At 36.7% G+C, this 17,578-nt stretch overlaps 1 long non-coding RNA gene across 1 annotated transcript in view, besides 2 other annotated features; it reads left to right on the plus strand.

Annotated features, from left to right (window-relative positions):
- The window catches only part of LOC105377999 (uncharacterized), a 92,281-nt gene that overhangs the window by 10,812 nt on the left and 63,891 nt on the right, over positions 1–17,578 (plus strand). The window contains exon 3 of the long non-coding RNA XR_942986.3: positions 9,913–10,031. This is a non-coding gene — a long non-coding RNA (uncharacterized LOC105377999). The remainder of the gene's footprint in view (positions 1–9,912; positions 10,032–17,578) is intronic.
- Positions 16,059–16,288: an enhancer, noted in NCBI's record as "active region_25050". NCBI's record gives its function as "activates an Ori minimal core promoter by ATAC-STARR-seq in GM12878 lymphoblastoid cells {active_cell/tissue: GM12878}" and the evidence as "EXISTENCE:reporter gene assay evidence [ECO:0000049][PMID:35858748]".
- Positions 16,339–16,388: an enhancer, noted in NCBI's record as "active region_25051". NCBI's record gives its function as "activates an Ori minimal core promoter by ATAC-STARR-seq in GM12878 lymphoblastoid cells {active_cell/tissue: GM12878}" and the evidence as "EXISTENCE:reporter gene assay evidence [ECO:0000049][PMID:35858748]".

Consider the following 17,578-nt stretch of genomic DNA (forward strand, 5'->3'; position numbering starts at 1 on the left):
ATGTTGATTGGTGAAGGCCTCAAAGGACAAAAGGAGCATTGTATTTTGGTTCAAAATAAAACAGCACTGTTCTTGAGCAGCAGCATGAAAGACAAAATCAGCAGATGTGAAAAATTATTTTAACAGCAATATAGGAGAAGAAACTACAAAGTGGATATATATTAGCATATTGAAAAGGCTTGAGGTTTGATTTTGGGGCCTAGAATAACTGAGCATAATTAGATTTTTAAGAACACCTTGGAAATAACAGCCTTCTTGATGAGAAACTGAAGGGGGAACAAAGAAGAACAAAAATAACATCAGGATTTTAATGCCAACAAATTAAGGGGATTACAGTGCTATTGATAAGAATAGGTTATGAAAACAGGAAATGAAAAGCGAACTGTGGGATTCAACACATTAACTTTCAGGGTCAGCTCATACATCAGTGGGCATCAGAATCACCTGGAGGAGTTGTTACAACGCAGATAGAAGGGCCTCAAACCAGAGTTTCTAATTCAGTAGGTCTTGGGAGGACCTAGTGTTTGCACTTCTGAGTACCATATTTTGAGAAGCACTTATTTAAATTATGTCCTCTAAGACAACTCATGATGGTTGAAGATGAGGTTGGAAGTCTGGGCCAATGACATAAGTATGAGAATTATCTATACCCAGGCTATTGTTGAAATTTTGTTGTGGAAATTTCTGACTTACAGCACTTTCTATGATTTTGATACCTTCCATCAACTGTTTCCTTAATTATATGCTCATATTGAAGTGAAATGAATGTTTATTCTCTGGCAGTTGGGAGTAAAAGGGACTGAAAGTTTAAGAAATAAAAGCATTCTGAAAATAGACAATGAGTGTATAAGGGAAGATCAGAGCATCGCTTTTGAAGGATGCAACAGAAAGAGAACCAGGAGGGAATTGCAATCAGGCATTATGTGATACTGGGAAAAAAGACTAGATACTTGACAATCTACTCTAGAAATTTCTTCTCACCCTCTGCAAAGATGCAAAAAGATGGAAATTTAAAAGGAAAAGTTAATAAGTCTACTTAGTATTTTAATTATTGTCAAGTACCCAGGTGCTTAAGTGAAGAGTTTCATGTACATATAAATTACTTCTGTGCCCTAGCATATTTGTAGAAATCTAAATAAGATGTTGTTCCATTTAAAATTTAAATAACTCCCTTGAGAAAATGCCAACCAGACTGCTTCAACTAGAAGCCAATGCATAAACATGTATTTGTTATTTACTTGTTAATGTGTTCAGTATCTTGATGTATTCTGGCCTTTTTCTTTTTTTTTTTTTTTTTTTGCATGAAAACTAAAGTCCTGTGTAATGTGATTTGATGACCCCAAAATGATGTTTGGAAATATTGAGGTAGATGCAGACTATACCATTTATACAAAGGCTCCCCTCAACCCTTCAGAAATAATGGTTACAAAGTGATACTACATTGTTCCCAAAGGGCTCAGACCTGTCTGAGCTTACACTTTTTACAAACGGGCAGGTTCAGATCCCTGAACTTAACTTTTTAAAGGATGACTCAGTGGAGGGGAGTTCGCCTGAGACTCCAGAGCACGGAAGGCGATTAAGGGGCAAACCTGGCTTTGTTTAGCAGGCTCAAGCTCATTGTATCAGCCTTGGTTCTGGCAAGGCAGCTGCTGGCAGAAATGTCCAGCCATTTCACATTCTCTGTATCCTGATTGGAATTTACTTCTTACAAGAATGATTTGAAGTTAAAATGAAGTTGGGGGAAAGTTCAAGCAATCCTTAATACTTGAAAATGTACAGCTTCCAGGCTCCAACTGGGGAAAAATTTGACTAAAGCCAGATTATGTGTGTGTGTGTGTATGTATGTGTGTGTGTGTGTGTGTGTGTGTGTGTGTGTGTGTGTGTGTATATATATAAAATGCCCGTAGGGTTTCTTGGACATAAAATTGTTTTTTGAAGACAACAATATGATAAGTTAAGAGTGAATGAATCAGAAACATATGGATTAAATTTTCCCTGAAATTTGCATGGATTTGGAAGTCATGGAGAAAAGGGCACTTGGCAAGATGCATTTGGGATTTTACTGGACCAAAAACATTTGAGAAATTATCTGAGGTTCCTGGGTGGATGCAAAACTGTACCAAGTTTTTTTTCATTTTTACAAACTGCTCTGAACTAAAAAAAGAAATAAAAGTCACCTAATTGTAATTTAATGAAGACGTGGAATACTGCTTGTACAGCAACTACCAAGCTTCACAGATAAGCATTAGTTTTCTAAGGGATTGGGCTGAGGGCATTTAAGCACAAATATAAATCAAACATGGGCATTAGTTTCACAGACTACAAAGAAATGCTCAATGCCCAAAGATACAGCAGGAGTACAACCTGATGCTGTGGAGAGAATGTTTCATTTGCTTTTTTTTCCTCAACCTAAATGAAACTAAAATAAACAACAATAATAACTAAAATGTCACTTTAAGAAAAACACATAGTGATGCTTATGTGTATGCATTATTAGGCTTTTTTGTTTGTTTTAGTACACAACATGTCTATATAATATCACTCTTGGGGTGTGACCACACTACAGCAAGGGCCTTCTGGGACTTCTAGTATCAGGTAAGACAAAGCCAGGTTTATACTAATCTTGGTGCTTTAGCAAGTAAAAGTAAGCTTCAAGTTGCTTTATAAGCTTTTAAAAGGTTATTAAAATGATATATGAAGAAAACATATATTTTTAAAAAAATCTCAGTTCTACTGTTTTTATTGTACTAAATATTGTTCAGCACTAGCAAAGATCTTAGCTTAACAATTTTTTCCATGCCTTTTTTCTAGTGGATCAAAAACTAGCATCCTATTCATACAGGATCCTATTCAATAACTATATTCATGTAATAGCTTAGAAAGTAGTTATAAAGAGATTTTCTAAATAGTCACTTTTCAGTGTTTAGTTGAAAAGGAAGGTAGAGAAGAGGAATGGAATGCATGGTGAGAGCTTTTATAGGGTTGGATATGTATGATAATCTTTGTAGTATTAATCCAGGGACCTAAAATTTAAACATACCATGGACATAAGCAAGAATATTAGAAACCTCAACTTACCCCGAATTTGCTCTTGACCCTGGGTAAGTGAATTCACTGTTTTTTACTTTGCAGGTGGGTTCTAGCTTCTCAAAAGGAAGGTTCATTTGAGCATGAAACCTATCATAAGCACTTACAGCTAATAAGCTAATAATAGGAGCAGTTTTTAAGTGAAATCTGAGCTGAACTAGGGAGTCATTTATAGATCCTGTTAGGTGTGCACATTTTTACTTGGGCAAACTAAATTAGCTGTGTAAATAACATTTAAAATATTTGAAAGTCAGTCTCATGGACTTCTTACCTCTGGCATTATCCTATCATATGCAGGGAAGGAGAACTTGGAGAGGGTAAACAGCCATGCAAAAGTGGATGGGTTTACTCAGAAGATGCTAAGAGACCCAAGAGACGGATGCTTGACTTCTATAAGTTTTTCTTTAGAGAAGCTATCTTATCTCTCTGAAGGGGATAGGCCTTCATGTTGGCAGAAAGGAAGTCCAGAGACCTCTGTGAATTTCCAAATTTGTGAATGCCACAATAAAACACTATTTTCCTACAAAACAAAAGCAAAACCACAAGTGAAGATCTATGCACCTCTTCAGACACATGGTGATTGATCTCTCTCACCTACAAGTACATTTTTACTGGCTCTGGTACTTGCTGTATCAATTTTTCAATCTGCTTTTATTTATTTCCATACGGAACACACAAGAGAGCTCAGTTGCCTCATAGAGCGGAGCTATTGTAAAACAATTCAATAGATCATAGATTTCTATTTTTATGGCTAAAAGCCATTAATTTATTATACTGGTTACTTCATCTTCACTTCCATCTTTGGCCTTAACAATTGTCTTTCTTTCCAGGGCCTGTTTTTTAAAATAAGAGCAATTTTGTCTCATTACCAGATTTACTGCATGTGCCATATTACAGAGGGAAAAGAAGCTGCTCCAGGGTGTGGCTACTGAATGAATGAATGAATGACTGCACTCTTACCTTAGTGAGGCGACCAGTTCTTATGGATGAGCTCCACAGCATACAGAGCTCAAACTTGAGCCTCAGCCTGAGACTCACTTCCTTCAGGGTGTTTTCCAATACTCTTCCCCACCCCAACACATTCGCCTTAGTTGGTGCATCTACCTATGTGTTTCTACAGCACCTTGCACATCGCCCATCATAGCTCTTGTCACTTTCCATTGTGATTGCCTATTTACTTATCTTTATAACCACTAGACTATAAACCCTATGAAGGCAGGTATTGTGTCTGACCTGATTTGTTAATTTCTGCAACCCAAGCACATAGAAAATGTCCAAGACACACACACGCACGCACACACACACACACATTCATATATACATACGTATATATATACACATACACACACATCCATACATATATTAACAGATAAATAAATGGATCGTGGGCTACATTCGGATATCTACAGTCCTTTACTTTAAGTAGAATACAGTACCTACTAAAGGACTATATACATTTGAAAGTGTGAAAACATGAATAGTAGAATAGCAAAAGTGTGCAAAAATTCAACAACAGACTTAAACATGATAGATTTCCAGGCCAGAGAGATTTAAAAAACATTTTTAAGTGTGCTTTTTCTTACAGAAACCATACATTCCCTCATTTTACACAACCTTTAGTTTTCTTTCATTCCTCAGCATTGAATACACCGTTGACTGCTTTAGATCTATTTAACAAACAGATTGAAGCTAAAAATTGTTCTTTTCAGCATGCCTAATGATATCTGTCTTTGTCTTGAGATATCACACTTATGAAATCCATGGTTTTTATCATTAATACCAACGTTTTCATTTTTCCAATTTTTATTGTTTTACAAAATAAGAAGGGAAAGGGCAGTAAAAACTAAAATGAGTGTATAAACAGAGCTGTGCCGGCCAGAAAGGTGACAGTGCCAAAAGAGCTGAGGTTTGGCAGACAGCTTCCCCACATGCAATCCATCAAGTTCCTCTGGATCTTCCTCCAAAGTGTACATTGCATATATCAGCTTCTCTCATTTTCTATTACTATCTCCATGGTGAAGCGGTCAAGCCACCATTATCCTTCCTTATACTACTATACTAGTTCTCTGTGTCCTCACATGGTCTTTTCTCTGTGTGTGCACATCCCTGGTGGCTGTTCGTGTGTCCAAATTTCCTCTTCTTATAAGGACATCAGTCGGATTGGATTAGCGCCCACTCTAACAACTCTCTGCTTTTACTTTTGCCACCATATAATACCCATTTACCAAAAAGCAGCCAGAAGCAGTTTAAATTATAAGTCAAATCACTGGCTTAAAATCTTCATTGGCTTCTTAGTGCTTTTTTTTTTTCTTAAAGATTCTAATTTTTTATTCTATCATAGAAAGGTCTCCCTACCTGGAATGGTTGAATTGTCTGATCTCATTTGACAAGTACACTCTTCTCCTGCCCATTGTACACTTTTGTACACTTTTCTGCCACCTATTTGCCTTTGTTGCATCCCAAGTACACCAAACTCTTTCCCACCTTGTATGGCCTTTACTTTCCGCTCCTTCTGCCTCTGATACCCTTCCCTTCATCTTTGTCACTTCTTTCAAATCTCAGGTTATCTGTCCTCTAAAACAGCCATCCAGTGACTCTAGCATACCATTCTATTTTACATCTCTGCACAGAGCTTATTGCTGTTTAGTAATTTTCTTCTTTTTGTTTAGTGTCATTTTCTCTAAAAGAATGAAGACCTTAGAGAGCAGGGGTCTTGTGACTCTTGGAGGAAGTTGAAGCTCTCAATTAATGGGTAATTCTCAGATTTTTTTTTTATACAAATCAAAAGCTGATTACATCCTTCACAAGAAAATTATGTCAGGAAGATACCAAATGCTAACAAACTCCCTTCGTCCATGAGATTTCTTTTTTTCTGAATACGCAGGCTAATTGGAAAGATCAAATGCATGTGAGGTACTGCAAAACTCACTGCACACATAGAAGGGGTAATGTGGGTGAAAACACAGAGCATAATGTGTGAAAAGACTTAACACAGTCCCCAACACATATTAGGCACCAAAATCTGTTCATTGGTTTATGTATTTATCACTTATTATTTGTTAATCCCTTAATTTATTCACTCAACAGGTCTAGCTCACCAATCCCAAGAGGAGCTGTAGATATCGACTATAAAATTTACTTCTTATCCCTGTCTGCATGTCTTCAGAGAGGGATAAGAAGTAAATCCACCAAAGCAGTTAAAGTCTAGAAAACCTGGACCTGGAACTGGCTGCTTTGCAGCTTTCCAATGTTAAATAGTAACAAAACCAACGAGGAACTTAATGACTCAGAACTGAATACACTCAACATAGAAATTTTTCTAAGAGAAATTTGATAGATGATTGTTGGACAATTAAGCATGTGCTTGAACTTAGAATCACTATTGATTTTCAATTCTCTTAAAAGTGAGAATTAATTCATAAATTTGCCAACTATGAAGACCTTTAAATATTATTCTAGTTACGGAAAACTTGATGGCATAAAGTAATGATTTTTTATGCCCATAAATTCTAGATCAGGAATTCAAGAAGGGCGCTGTTGGTTAGTTCTCACTTAGGGCTCTCTTGTAGTTACAGTCAGATTTTGATTGGGGTGACTGTCATCTGAAGGCTTTGGGGCTTCAGAATCCTCTTCCTAGGTGCCTTCCCTACACGTGTGGGAAGTTGATTAGCTGCTCCAGTTTTCCTTTTCAAGGAGCCACTTTAATGCCCTCATAGTATGGTGGCTATCTTCCCCCAGAGAGAGCAATCTAAGAGATCGGGGTGATAGATAAAATACCTTGACACCCCCGAGAGCCATATACAATCACTTTTGTACTCTCTCTGTCACACAGGGCCAGCCTTGATTCATCGACAAAATCCAGAGGGGGCTATATAAGGGTGTGGGTCATTGGGGGTCATTTTGGAGGCTAACACAAATATCATTAAATATTAACATCTTGGGTAGATAATATGATTAGAGGGTGCCTGAGGACCAAACAAGGATTTTTACACGACAGAAGTTAAGAGAAATGAATTGATTATAGCCATCAGTAATATGAGTATAGTTTTAAATAAAGATGCATAATTATAGCATATTCATAAGAAAACATAAAATTATTTTAATCACTGAATGTTCTATATACCTTTGTAGACAGGATCGTTCACTGATTCATTTATCCAAACATTCATTTCACTAAAATGTATTGAATAACTGCTATATACAGGGTCTCGTGAAGAAACCTGTGAAAAAAGTATGAATTTTGACATCCTCTTTTCAAATGTAACATAGGTCAATAAAGGCATTAGTTGTTTGACCAATAAATTATAGAAAAAACAACTCTCTACATTGATTGCTGCCTTAAAAACATTCCAAAAAAAAAGTTTTAGACTATTTAGACCCATTTCTTGATAGCTTTCCACTGTTCCTTCCAATGCAAACCCACAGTCAGCACCAGGGATGGGAGTAGGAACCTTAAACTTGATTTGATTAATCATTAGTTTCAATGTATAGCTTGTCTTTTATTTAAAGGCATATATGAGCACACACGCATGTACACATGCAAACACATACATCCTAAATGCATATGCCCATTAAAGTATTGATTTGGCAATAAGTTATGCAGCTGAATTTTGATCCTTAGTTTCTTCTCTCTGAAAATCAAGTCCAGATGATCTAAAACAAGCTGACAGTAAAAATGAGAGAACAGGTTTTACCAAATTTAGACCCACTTAAAACTTCATGGAATCTAAGTTTAGAATACACTGAATTTTCCAGCTCTTTCTGGGTTTTGCTTTGCCTAGCACTAGGTAGTGCATCTTTCCAGCAGTTTAAAAGGAGGAGGAGGAGAAAGAGCAGTAGCAGTTTGTGAAATAACTTCTGAAGCTTTTAGAAAATAAAAAGGGTAGAGAAAATGACACCATGATAACTTGGTTGTTAACTTTGCACGTTTCTCTAGAATTCACTTACCCCTAGGGCATGAACAGTTTCAAATGGATGGTAGGAAGGAGATGTTAGATGAAGGTCTTTTGAGTTTGAACAAACCTGAAGTATTTGAGAAGTGTCTGGAAATAAATGAGTCTAAACTACCACTGGACTTTTAATAGATACTGTTACAATTCACCAGAACATTTAAAACTCAAGACAATTTCTTCCAGGTCCCTAAAAACAAAACAATCAATGGTCATTGATGAAAAATCATATTACTTATTCATTCACTGTTTTCTAGTATTTCAGTGTTTATTACTATCCAGCCTCATCTGGGTTATATTTTAAAAACCAAACATTTTCCTACAGCTGTGAATTAGCTTAAACAGTACAATGTAGTTACCATATTGTGCTTCAACTGCTAAACCTGTCATGTCACAGCACTACAATAACTCATTTAAAAATCAAGATTTTTAAAATATATGTTGATTAAAATGTACCACTAGAAAGGTATTACATGTCTTACAATGGAAGTGAAATGTATATAAGTATGGGTAAAAAGGCAAGTCACTAGTATGAGATGAAAACTAAAACTAAAACTAAAATTTTCATGGTAAAATACCAGCATGTGTGTACTTGTGCAGTGTACACTTCTAAACACTGAAGGCTTGTAAAAGTAAATGTGTTAAATAGAAGTCTGATAGTTTATCATAAACCTACAGGGAAAAAAACCAGACTTTGTGTTTTTGATATTTTGTGCATTAATATATTATTACAAACATGAAGATGTTTGTGAGTGTTTGTTTTAGTCATTTTATTTGAAGTCACAGCATTGTACCATCTTCATTTCTGTATAGAGCTGCTTCAATCATAAGTCGTCTAGACTTCCCCTGCCTATCTGGTTTTTATGTTTTTGTTTAAGACAGTAAAATAAGTGTTTTTCGAATCAAAAAAGAAGATATTGTTACAGAATTGAGCATATTGAACATTTATAAAAAGAACCATTCGATAATACTGTTGCAGATCACACAACGCAGACAGGTGTTCCGAAAATAAGTCCATAAGCTCTATATTTGCATTTCCAGCCCAATGTTCTTGTGAAATTCAATCACAATGACTCTTGAGCCTGGCGATTCAGCTAAGCATAATTGAATATGGACAAATTTACATGAAAAGTTTTGTGCCAACAGAAAATATTTATGTTTGCATATAACAATGGCATTCTTGGACAATTTGAAGTTTTGCAGAAAAACCCCGTGTGAGATAAGACCTGATACATTAATTAAATTATGCTAGCTTGCTCAAATTGCTATGATATAAACTGACATACTTTCTTCATCATGGGTTAAAAAAATAATGATCTATTACAGGAAGTGAAACCTAATTGCATGAAACCAAACCCACACAAAACTGAAGTTACTCAGATAAACAAAGTTTCCTCCAAGAAAGCTTTGCCTTGCCCTTTTCAAGACATTAACTGTTTATATTATGTCGGATTTAAACTTACCAATCAGAAAATTACAGAATGAATATTTGTCTTATAGGAAGCTCTTTGTTCCTTCTCTTTTCAGTTGCAAGGTCATGCATTTTTTTCTTCATGCCCCGTTACTTTGGGGAGCACATTTATTATGTAAGATAGAGACTTTGGAGAAAGTCTTACGATCATACACATCACTCCCTTTGTCAATGTTTAAGTAAATGTTCATTCGCAAGCCTAGTTATCCCCAGGGCATTATTTATTCTAACATAAATAGCATCAGTAAAATTAATTAGAGAAAGATTCCTCCCATTTGTCAGTTACTCTAAAGTTTTGCTTTGAATAAATTAATTGCTCAGCTCACAGTGATGAGTAAGATGCTCAAGGATTACTGAAAGGAAAAAGAGATTCTTACCAGGGCTTCCCCTTGATCTTACCAACAGAACATTGATGGAACAAAGGCAAACAAAACCAAAACAAAACAGCCAAACTGATGCTGGGAAAGAGATGGATGTGTCACCATTGCTGAGGATAAATACCGTGGAAGCTGCACCTGGCCAAGGTGAGCATTCAGATTAGAAATACCCCAAATTTAATGGTAATCCAAAGTCAGTAATTACAAAGAGATCAGACCAGGAAATGTTCCAAGTTTGTTTAGGGAAAGTTGGAGAATATGGAAACTCACAAAGAAGAATAAGAAATAAACACTAATTTCATTCCTCAGATATAATCCTTGTTAAATTTTAGACTATTAATATAAATTTTTTTAAAAAAAAGAGGTCATATTTTATTAACTTTTAATTGACATTTCCATGTGTCAATAACTATTATATATTTAAAATGGCTGTAGAATGAATACTGCACAGTATGGAAGTATCATTTTATTTAACAAATCTCTTATTGCCAGACTTTTACCATACACAGGCTTGGCTGTAATTGTTGCTGTTGTTTTACTATTTTAAATGATGCTGTGATGTGAATTCTTTTATGATTGTGAATAAATATTTGAATAAAGTAAATTACTAAAGTGGAAGTTCTAGGTAATTTGCACATTTTCTAGGCATTTGTTGTGTATTGAAAATGCTCCTCCAGAAAGGTTATACTGATTGATAACCAACCATGTAGGAAAGGTGAGGTTCTTTTCAAGTCTTCCGTCTCAGCCCTTGCAATTTTGTCTCAGTAAGTCTTAAAAGCATGGGGCCTGAGGCCTAGAATTTGGGAGAGAGAGGGGAAAGCCCTGCTAAACATGTGTGTAAATGTGCTTCTTTGACTTCATCTGCTTATTCCATGTAATCTTGTAAGTGGAACACGTTACACATAGGAGAATTGTTGGCCAGTGCTAAATGACAGAAAGCATGATAAAATTAAGCTTCATAATTTTTATCTTAAGAGTAGGAGAGACTTATTTGATTTTTTATTTTTATTTTAAATTCTGGGATACATGTGCAGAAGTGCAGGTTTGTTACGTAGGTATACCTGTGCCATGGTGGTTTGCTGCACCTATTGACCTGTCCTCTAAATTCTCTTCCCTCACCCCCTAACCCCCAACAGGCCCTGGTGTATGTTGTTCCCGTCCTTGTGTCCATGTGTTCTCATTGTTCGACTCCCACTTATGAGTGAGAATATGCAGTGTTTGGTTTTCTGTTCCTGTGTTAGTTTGCTGAGCATGATAGCTTCCAGTTTCATCCATGTCCCTGCAAAGGACATGATCTCATTCCTTTTTACGTCTGTATGGTATTCCATGGTATATATGTACCACATTTTCTTTATCCAGTCTATCACTGATGGGCGTTTGGGTTGGTTTCATGACTTTGCTATTGTAAATAGTGCTGCAATAAACATATGTGTGCATGTATCTTTATATTAGAATGATTTATATTCCTTTGGGTATATACCCAGTAATGGGATTGCTGGGGCAAATGGTATTTCTGGTTCTAGATCCTTGAGGAATCGCCATACCATCTTCTACAATGGTTGAACTAATTTACATTCCCATCAACAGGGTAAAAGCATTCCTATTTCTCCACAGCCTTGCCAGCATCTATTATTTCTTGACTTTATAATAATTGCCATTCTGACTGGCATGAGATGGTATCTCATTGTCGTTTTGATTTGCATTTCTCTAGTGATAAGTGATGTTGAGCTTTTTTCCATATGTTGGCCATGTAAATGTCTTCTTTTGAGAAGTGTCTGTTCATACCCTTTGCCCACTTTTTGATGGGCTTGTTTTTTTCTTGTACATATGATTAAGTTTCTTGTAAATTCTGGATATTAGACCTTTGTCAGATGGGTAGATTCAAAAATTTTCTCCCATTCTGTAGGTTGCCTATTCACTCTGATGATAGTTACTTTTGATGTGCAGAAGCTTTTTAATTTAATTAGACCCCATTTCTCATTTTGGATTTTGTTGCAATTACTTTTGGTGTTTTAGTCATGAAGTCTTTGCCCATGCCTATGTCCTGAATGGTATTGCCTAGCTTTTCTTCCAGGGTTTTTATGGTTTGGGGTTTTACATTTAAATCTTTAATCCATCTTAATTTTTGTATAAGGTGTAAGGAAGGGGTCCAGTTTCAGTTTTCTGCATATGGCTAGTCAGTTTTCCCAGCATCATTTATTGAATAGGAGATTCCTTCCCCATTGCTTGTTTTTGTCGGGTTTGTCAAAGATCAGATGGTTGTAGATGTGTAGTATGATTTCTGAGGTCTCTGTACTGTACCATTGGTCTACATGTCTGTTGTGCTACCAGTGCCATGCTGTTTTGGTTACTGTAGCCTTGTAGTATAGTTTGAAGTCAGGTAGTGTGATGCCTCCAGCTTTGTTCTTTTTAGTTAGGATAGTCTTGGCCATACGGGGTCTACTTTGAGTCCATATAAAATTTAAAGTAGTTTATTCTAATTCTGTGAGATGTCAATCATAGTTTGATGGGAATAGCATTGGATCTATAAATTACTCTGGGCAGTATGGCCATCTTCAAGATATTGATTCTTCCTATCCATGAGCATGGAATGTTTTTCCATTTGTTTGTGTCCTCTCTTATTTTCTTGAGCAGTGGTTTGTAGTTCTCCTTGAAGAGGTCCTTCATATCCCTTGTTGCTGTATTCCTCAGTATTTTATTCTCTTTGTAGCAATTGTGAATGGGAGTTCACTCATGATTTGGCTCTCTGCTTGTCTGTTGTTGGTGTAGAGGAATGCTGGTGATTTTTGCACATTGATTTTGTATCCTGAGATTTTGCTGAAGTTGGTTATCAGGTTAAGGAGTTTTTGGGCTGAGATGATGGGATTTTCTAAATATAGAATTATGCAAACAGAAAAAATTTGACTTCCTCTCTTCCTATTTGAATATCCTTTATTTCTTTCTCTTGCCTGATTGCACTGGCCAGAACTTCCAATACTATGTTGACCAGGAGTGGTGAGAGAGGGCCTCTTGGTCTTATACTGGTTTTCAAAGGGAATGCTTCCAGCTTTTGCCCATTTAATATGATATTGAGTGTGGGTTTGTCATAAATAGTTCTTATCATGTTCTATCAATACCTAGGTTATTGAGAGTTTTTAACATTAAGGAATATTGAATTTTGTCAAAGGCTTTTTTGCATCAATTGAGATAATCATGTGATTTTTGTCTTTGGCTCTGTTTTTGTGATGGATTATGTTTATTGATTTGCATATGTTGAACCAGCTTTGCATCCCAGGGATGAAGCTGACTTGATCATGGTAGCTAAGTTGGTGTTTTTGTTTTTTTTTTTTTTTTTTTTTTTTGAGACTGCATTTCACTCTTGTTGCCCAGTCTGGAGTGCAATGGCACAATCTCGGCTCACTGTAACCTCTGCCTCCCGGGTTCAAGCAATTCTCCTGCCTTGACCTCCTGAGTAGCTGGGATTACAGGCATTCGCCACCTCACCCAGCTAATTTTTGTATAATTAGTAGAAACAGGGTTTCACCATGTTGGTCAGGCTGCTCTTGAACTCCTGACCTCAGGTGATCCATATGGTGGCTATTTTTTGATGGGCTGATGGATTCAGTTTGCCAGTATTTTATTGAGGATTTTTGCATTGATGTTCATCAGGGATATTGGCCTGAAGTTTTCTTTTTTTGTTGTGCCACTGCCAGGTTTTGGTATCAGGATGATGCTGGCTTCATAAAACCAGTTAGGGAGAAATCCCTCCTTTTCAGTTGTTTAGAATAGCTTCAGATGGAATGGTACCAGCTCCTCTTTGTAGGTTTGGTAGAACTTGGCTGTGAATCTGTCTGGTCCTGGGCCTTTTTTGGTTGATAGGCTATTAATTATTGCCTCAATTTCAGAACTTGTTATTGGTCTGTTCAGGGATTTGACTTCTTCCTGGTTTAGTCTTGGGAGGGTGTATGTGTCCAGGAATTTATCCATTTCTTCTAGATTTTCTAGTTTATTTGTGTAGAGGTGTTTATAGTATTCTCTGGTGGTATTTTGTATTTCTACGGGGTCAGCGATGATATTCCCTTTATCATTTTTTATTGTGTCTATTTGATTCTTCTCTCTTTTCTTCTTAATTAGTGTAGCTAGCAGTCTATCTATTTTGTTAATTTTTTTTGAAAAACCAGCTCCTGGATTCATTTATTTTTTTGAAGGGTTTTTCGTATCTCTATCTCCTTCAAGTCTGCTCTCATCTTAATCATTTCTTTTCTTCTGCTAGCCTCTGGATTAGTTTGCTTTTGCTTCTATAGCTCTTTTAATTGTGATGTTAGGTTGTCGATTTTAGATCTTTCCTACTTTCTGATGTGGGCATTTCATGCTATAAACTTCCCTCTTAACACTGCTTTAGCTGTGTCCCACAGATTCTGGTACATTGTCTCTTTGTTCTCATTGGATTCAAAGAATTTCCTGGTTTCTGCCTTAATTTCATTATTTACCCAGGAGTCATTCAGGAGCAGGTTGTTCAATTTCCATGTAATTGTGTGGTTTTGAGTGAGTTTCTTAATCCTGAGTTCTGATTTGATTGCAGTGTAGTCTGAGAGACTGTTTGTTATGATTTCAGTTCTTTTGCATTTGCTGAGGAGTGGTTTACTTCCAAATATGTGATTGTTTTTAGAATAAGTGCCACGTGGCACTGAGAAGAATGTATATTCTGTTGATTTGGGGTGAAGAGTTCTGTAGATGTCTATTAGGTCCACTTGATCCAGAGCTGAGTTCAAGTCCTGAATATCCTTGTTAATTTACTGTCTTGTTGATCTGTCTGATATTGACAGTGGGGTGTTAAAGTCTACCACTGTTATTGTGTGGGAGTCTAAGTCTCTTTGTAGGTCTCTAAGAGCTTGTTTTATGAATCAGGGTGCTCCTGTATCAGGTGCATATATATTTAGGATAGTTAGCTCTTCTAGTTGAATTGATCCTTTCACCATTATGTAATGCCCTTTTTTGTCTTTTTTGATCTTTGTTGGTTTAAAGTCTGTTTTGTCAGAAAGTAGGATTGCAACCCCTGCTTTTTTTTTTTTTTTTTTTTTTTTTTTTTTGCTTTCCATTTGCTTGGTAAGTTTTCCTCCATGCCTTTATTTTGAGCCTATGTGTGTCTTTCTACATGAAATGGGTCTCCTGAATACAGCCCACTGATGGGTCTTGACTCTTTATCCAGCTTGCTTGTCATCATGATGCTATCTGGTTATTTTGCACATTAGTTGATGCAGTTTCTTTATGGTGTCATTGGACTTTATATTTTGGGTTGTTTTGCAGTGACAGGTACCAGTTTTTCCTTTCCAGTTTGCTCTTGCAAGGCAGGCCTGACGGTGAGAAAATCCCTCAGCATTTGCTTTCCTGGAAAGGATTTTATTTCTCCTTCACTTATGAAGCTTAGTTTTGACTGGATATGGAATTCTGGGTTGAAAATTCTTTTCTTTAAGAATGTTGAATATTGGCCCTCAATCTCTTCTGGTTTGTAGAGTTTCTGCTGCAAAGTCCGCTGTTAGTCTGATGGGCTTCCCTTTGTAGGTGACCTGGCCTTTCTCTCTGGCAGCCTTTAACATTTTTTCCCTTCATTTTGACCTTGGAGAATCTGATGATTATGTGTCTTGTGGTTAATCTTCTCTGGGAGTATCTTAGAGGTGTTCTCTGTATTTCCTGAATTTGCACATTGGCCTGTTTGCTAGGTTGGGGAATTTCTCCTGGATAATGTCCTGAAGTGTGTTTTCCAGCCTTTTTCCATTCTCCCAGTGTCCTTCAGGTACTCCAGTCAATTGTAGGTTCAGTCTTTTTACATAGTCCCATATTTCTCGGAGGCTTTGTTCATTCCTTTTCATTATTTTTTCTCTAATCTTGTCTGCATGCCTTATTTCAGCAAGATGGTCTTCAAACTTTGATATCTTTTCTTCCACTTGGTCGATTTGGCTATTGATACTTGTGTATGCTTCATGAAGTTCTCATGCTGTGTTTTTCAGCTCCATCAGGTCATTCATATTCCTCTCTAAACTGGTTATTCTAGTTAGCAGCTACTCTAATGTTTTATCAAGGTTCTTAACTTCTTTGCATTGGGTTAGAATATGCTCCTTTTGCTCAGTGGAGTTTTTTATTACCCATCTTCTGAAGTCTACTTCTGTCAATTCGTCCATCTCATCCTCTGGCCAGTTCTGCACCGTTGCTGGAGAGTCATCGTGATCATTTGTAGGAGAAGAGGCACTCTGACCTTTTGGGTTTTCAGTGTTTTTTTGTTGATTCTTTCTAATCTTCTTGATTTTGTCTAGTTTCAATCTTTGAAGCTGCTGATCTTTGGATGGGGTTTTTGTGGGGACTTTTTGTTGTTGATGTTGCCGTTGTTGTTGCTTTCTGTTTGTTTTTCCTTCAACGTTCAGTTCCTCTTCTGTAGGGCTGCTGCGGTTTGCTGGGGGTTCACTTCAGGCCCTATTCATCTGGTTCACTCTGGTGCCTGGATATGTCACTCAAGGAGGCTGGAGAGCGGCAAAGATGGGTGCCTGCTTTTTCTTCTGGGATCTCTGACCTCGAGGGGCACCAACAGCCTCCCTTGGCTGGGGTGTGGGGGCTCCCCTGCCCCACTGTGGCTCTCAGGCGGGCCACCTAACCACACTACTCTTCCTTCCCCTCCGTGGATCACTGGAGAGATTTATTGACTTTCTGAAGGTTATATAAGCAACTCAAGGCATGACCTAAGAATAAAATGCAAGCTAATAATTACCAAACCAATTTTTCATCCTCAAAAAGTAATTCAGTTTAATTTCTAGGTTAATTTAAAATTAATAAAAGATGTCAGATGAATAGCTCAGAAAGCTCCTACCTTCTTAATCTACAATCCAAACAATAACATGCTTTAAATAACATCATTTACAAATGAGCTAAAACTGTGTCATCTTCATGGCCATAACTCAGGACACTGGCTGAATTATATATGTCTAAGAAATTCAGTCAGATCAATTTATTGAGGCTTCTTAAAATGCCATGATGAATAGAAAACTTTGAGTGGGAGTTGGGAGGGGGCACCTAGACAGGCTATGTAAATCGAAATGATTAAATCGCTTTGGTCATGTTTCATTATTCTGTGGTCATTTTGCCACAGACTCTATTTCTAAATTTGCTTTCTGGTTTTCTTAACATATTATATAACTGGGAGGCAGCAGTTTGGAGGGGCACATTGGACAGGGAAACCAGGATTCATTCTTGGCTTTCCTACTAACTGAATGACTTGGGATCATTTCTTTAAACTTTCTGATCTGCAGTTACTTCATTTGTCATATAATGACTTATCTTGATGATAAGCAAATCCTACTATTAAAATATAGATATGACCCAGTTGAGTTGATGTGGTGGTTAAGATATTTGACTCTGGAGCCTGATTATAGATTCAAATCCCAGCTACTTACCACTTAATAATCACATAACTTTGGGAGATTTGCTTAACTTATCTGTATGTATCAGTCCCTTCATCTTCAAAACATGAATAATTATAGCAACTACCTCTGAGAGTTCATATGAGAACTCAGTAATACAGTTTTTGCCTGACATATGGTAGGTACCCACTAAATCTTAGCTGCCAATAGTATAACACTCCTTATAAGTGCAATAGAAATGTATTACATGAGATCCTTCAATTCATCTAATCTAGGAAACCTTGGGATTAATGTTTTTATTGAATC

The sequence above is a fragment of the Homo sapiens genome, chromosome 6 (genome assembly GCF_000001405.40).
Source record: "Homo sapiens chromosome 6, GRCh38.p14 Primary Assembly".
Classification (NCBI taxonomy): domain Eukaryota; kingdom Metazoa; phylum Chordata; class Mammalia; order Primates; family Hominidae; genus Homo; species Homo sapiens.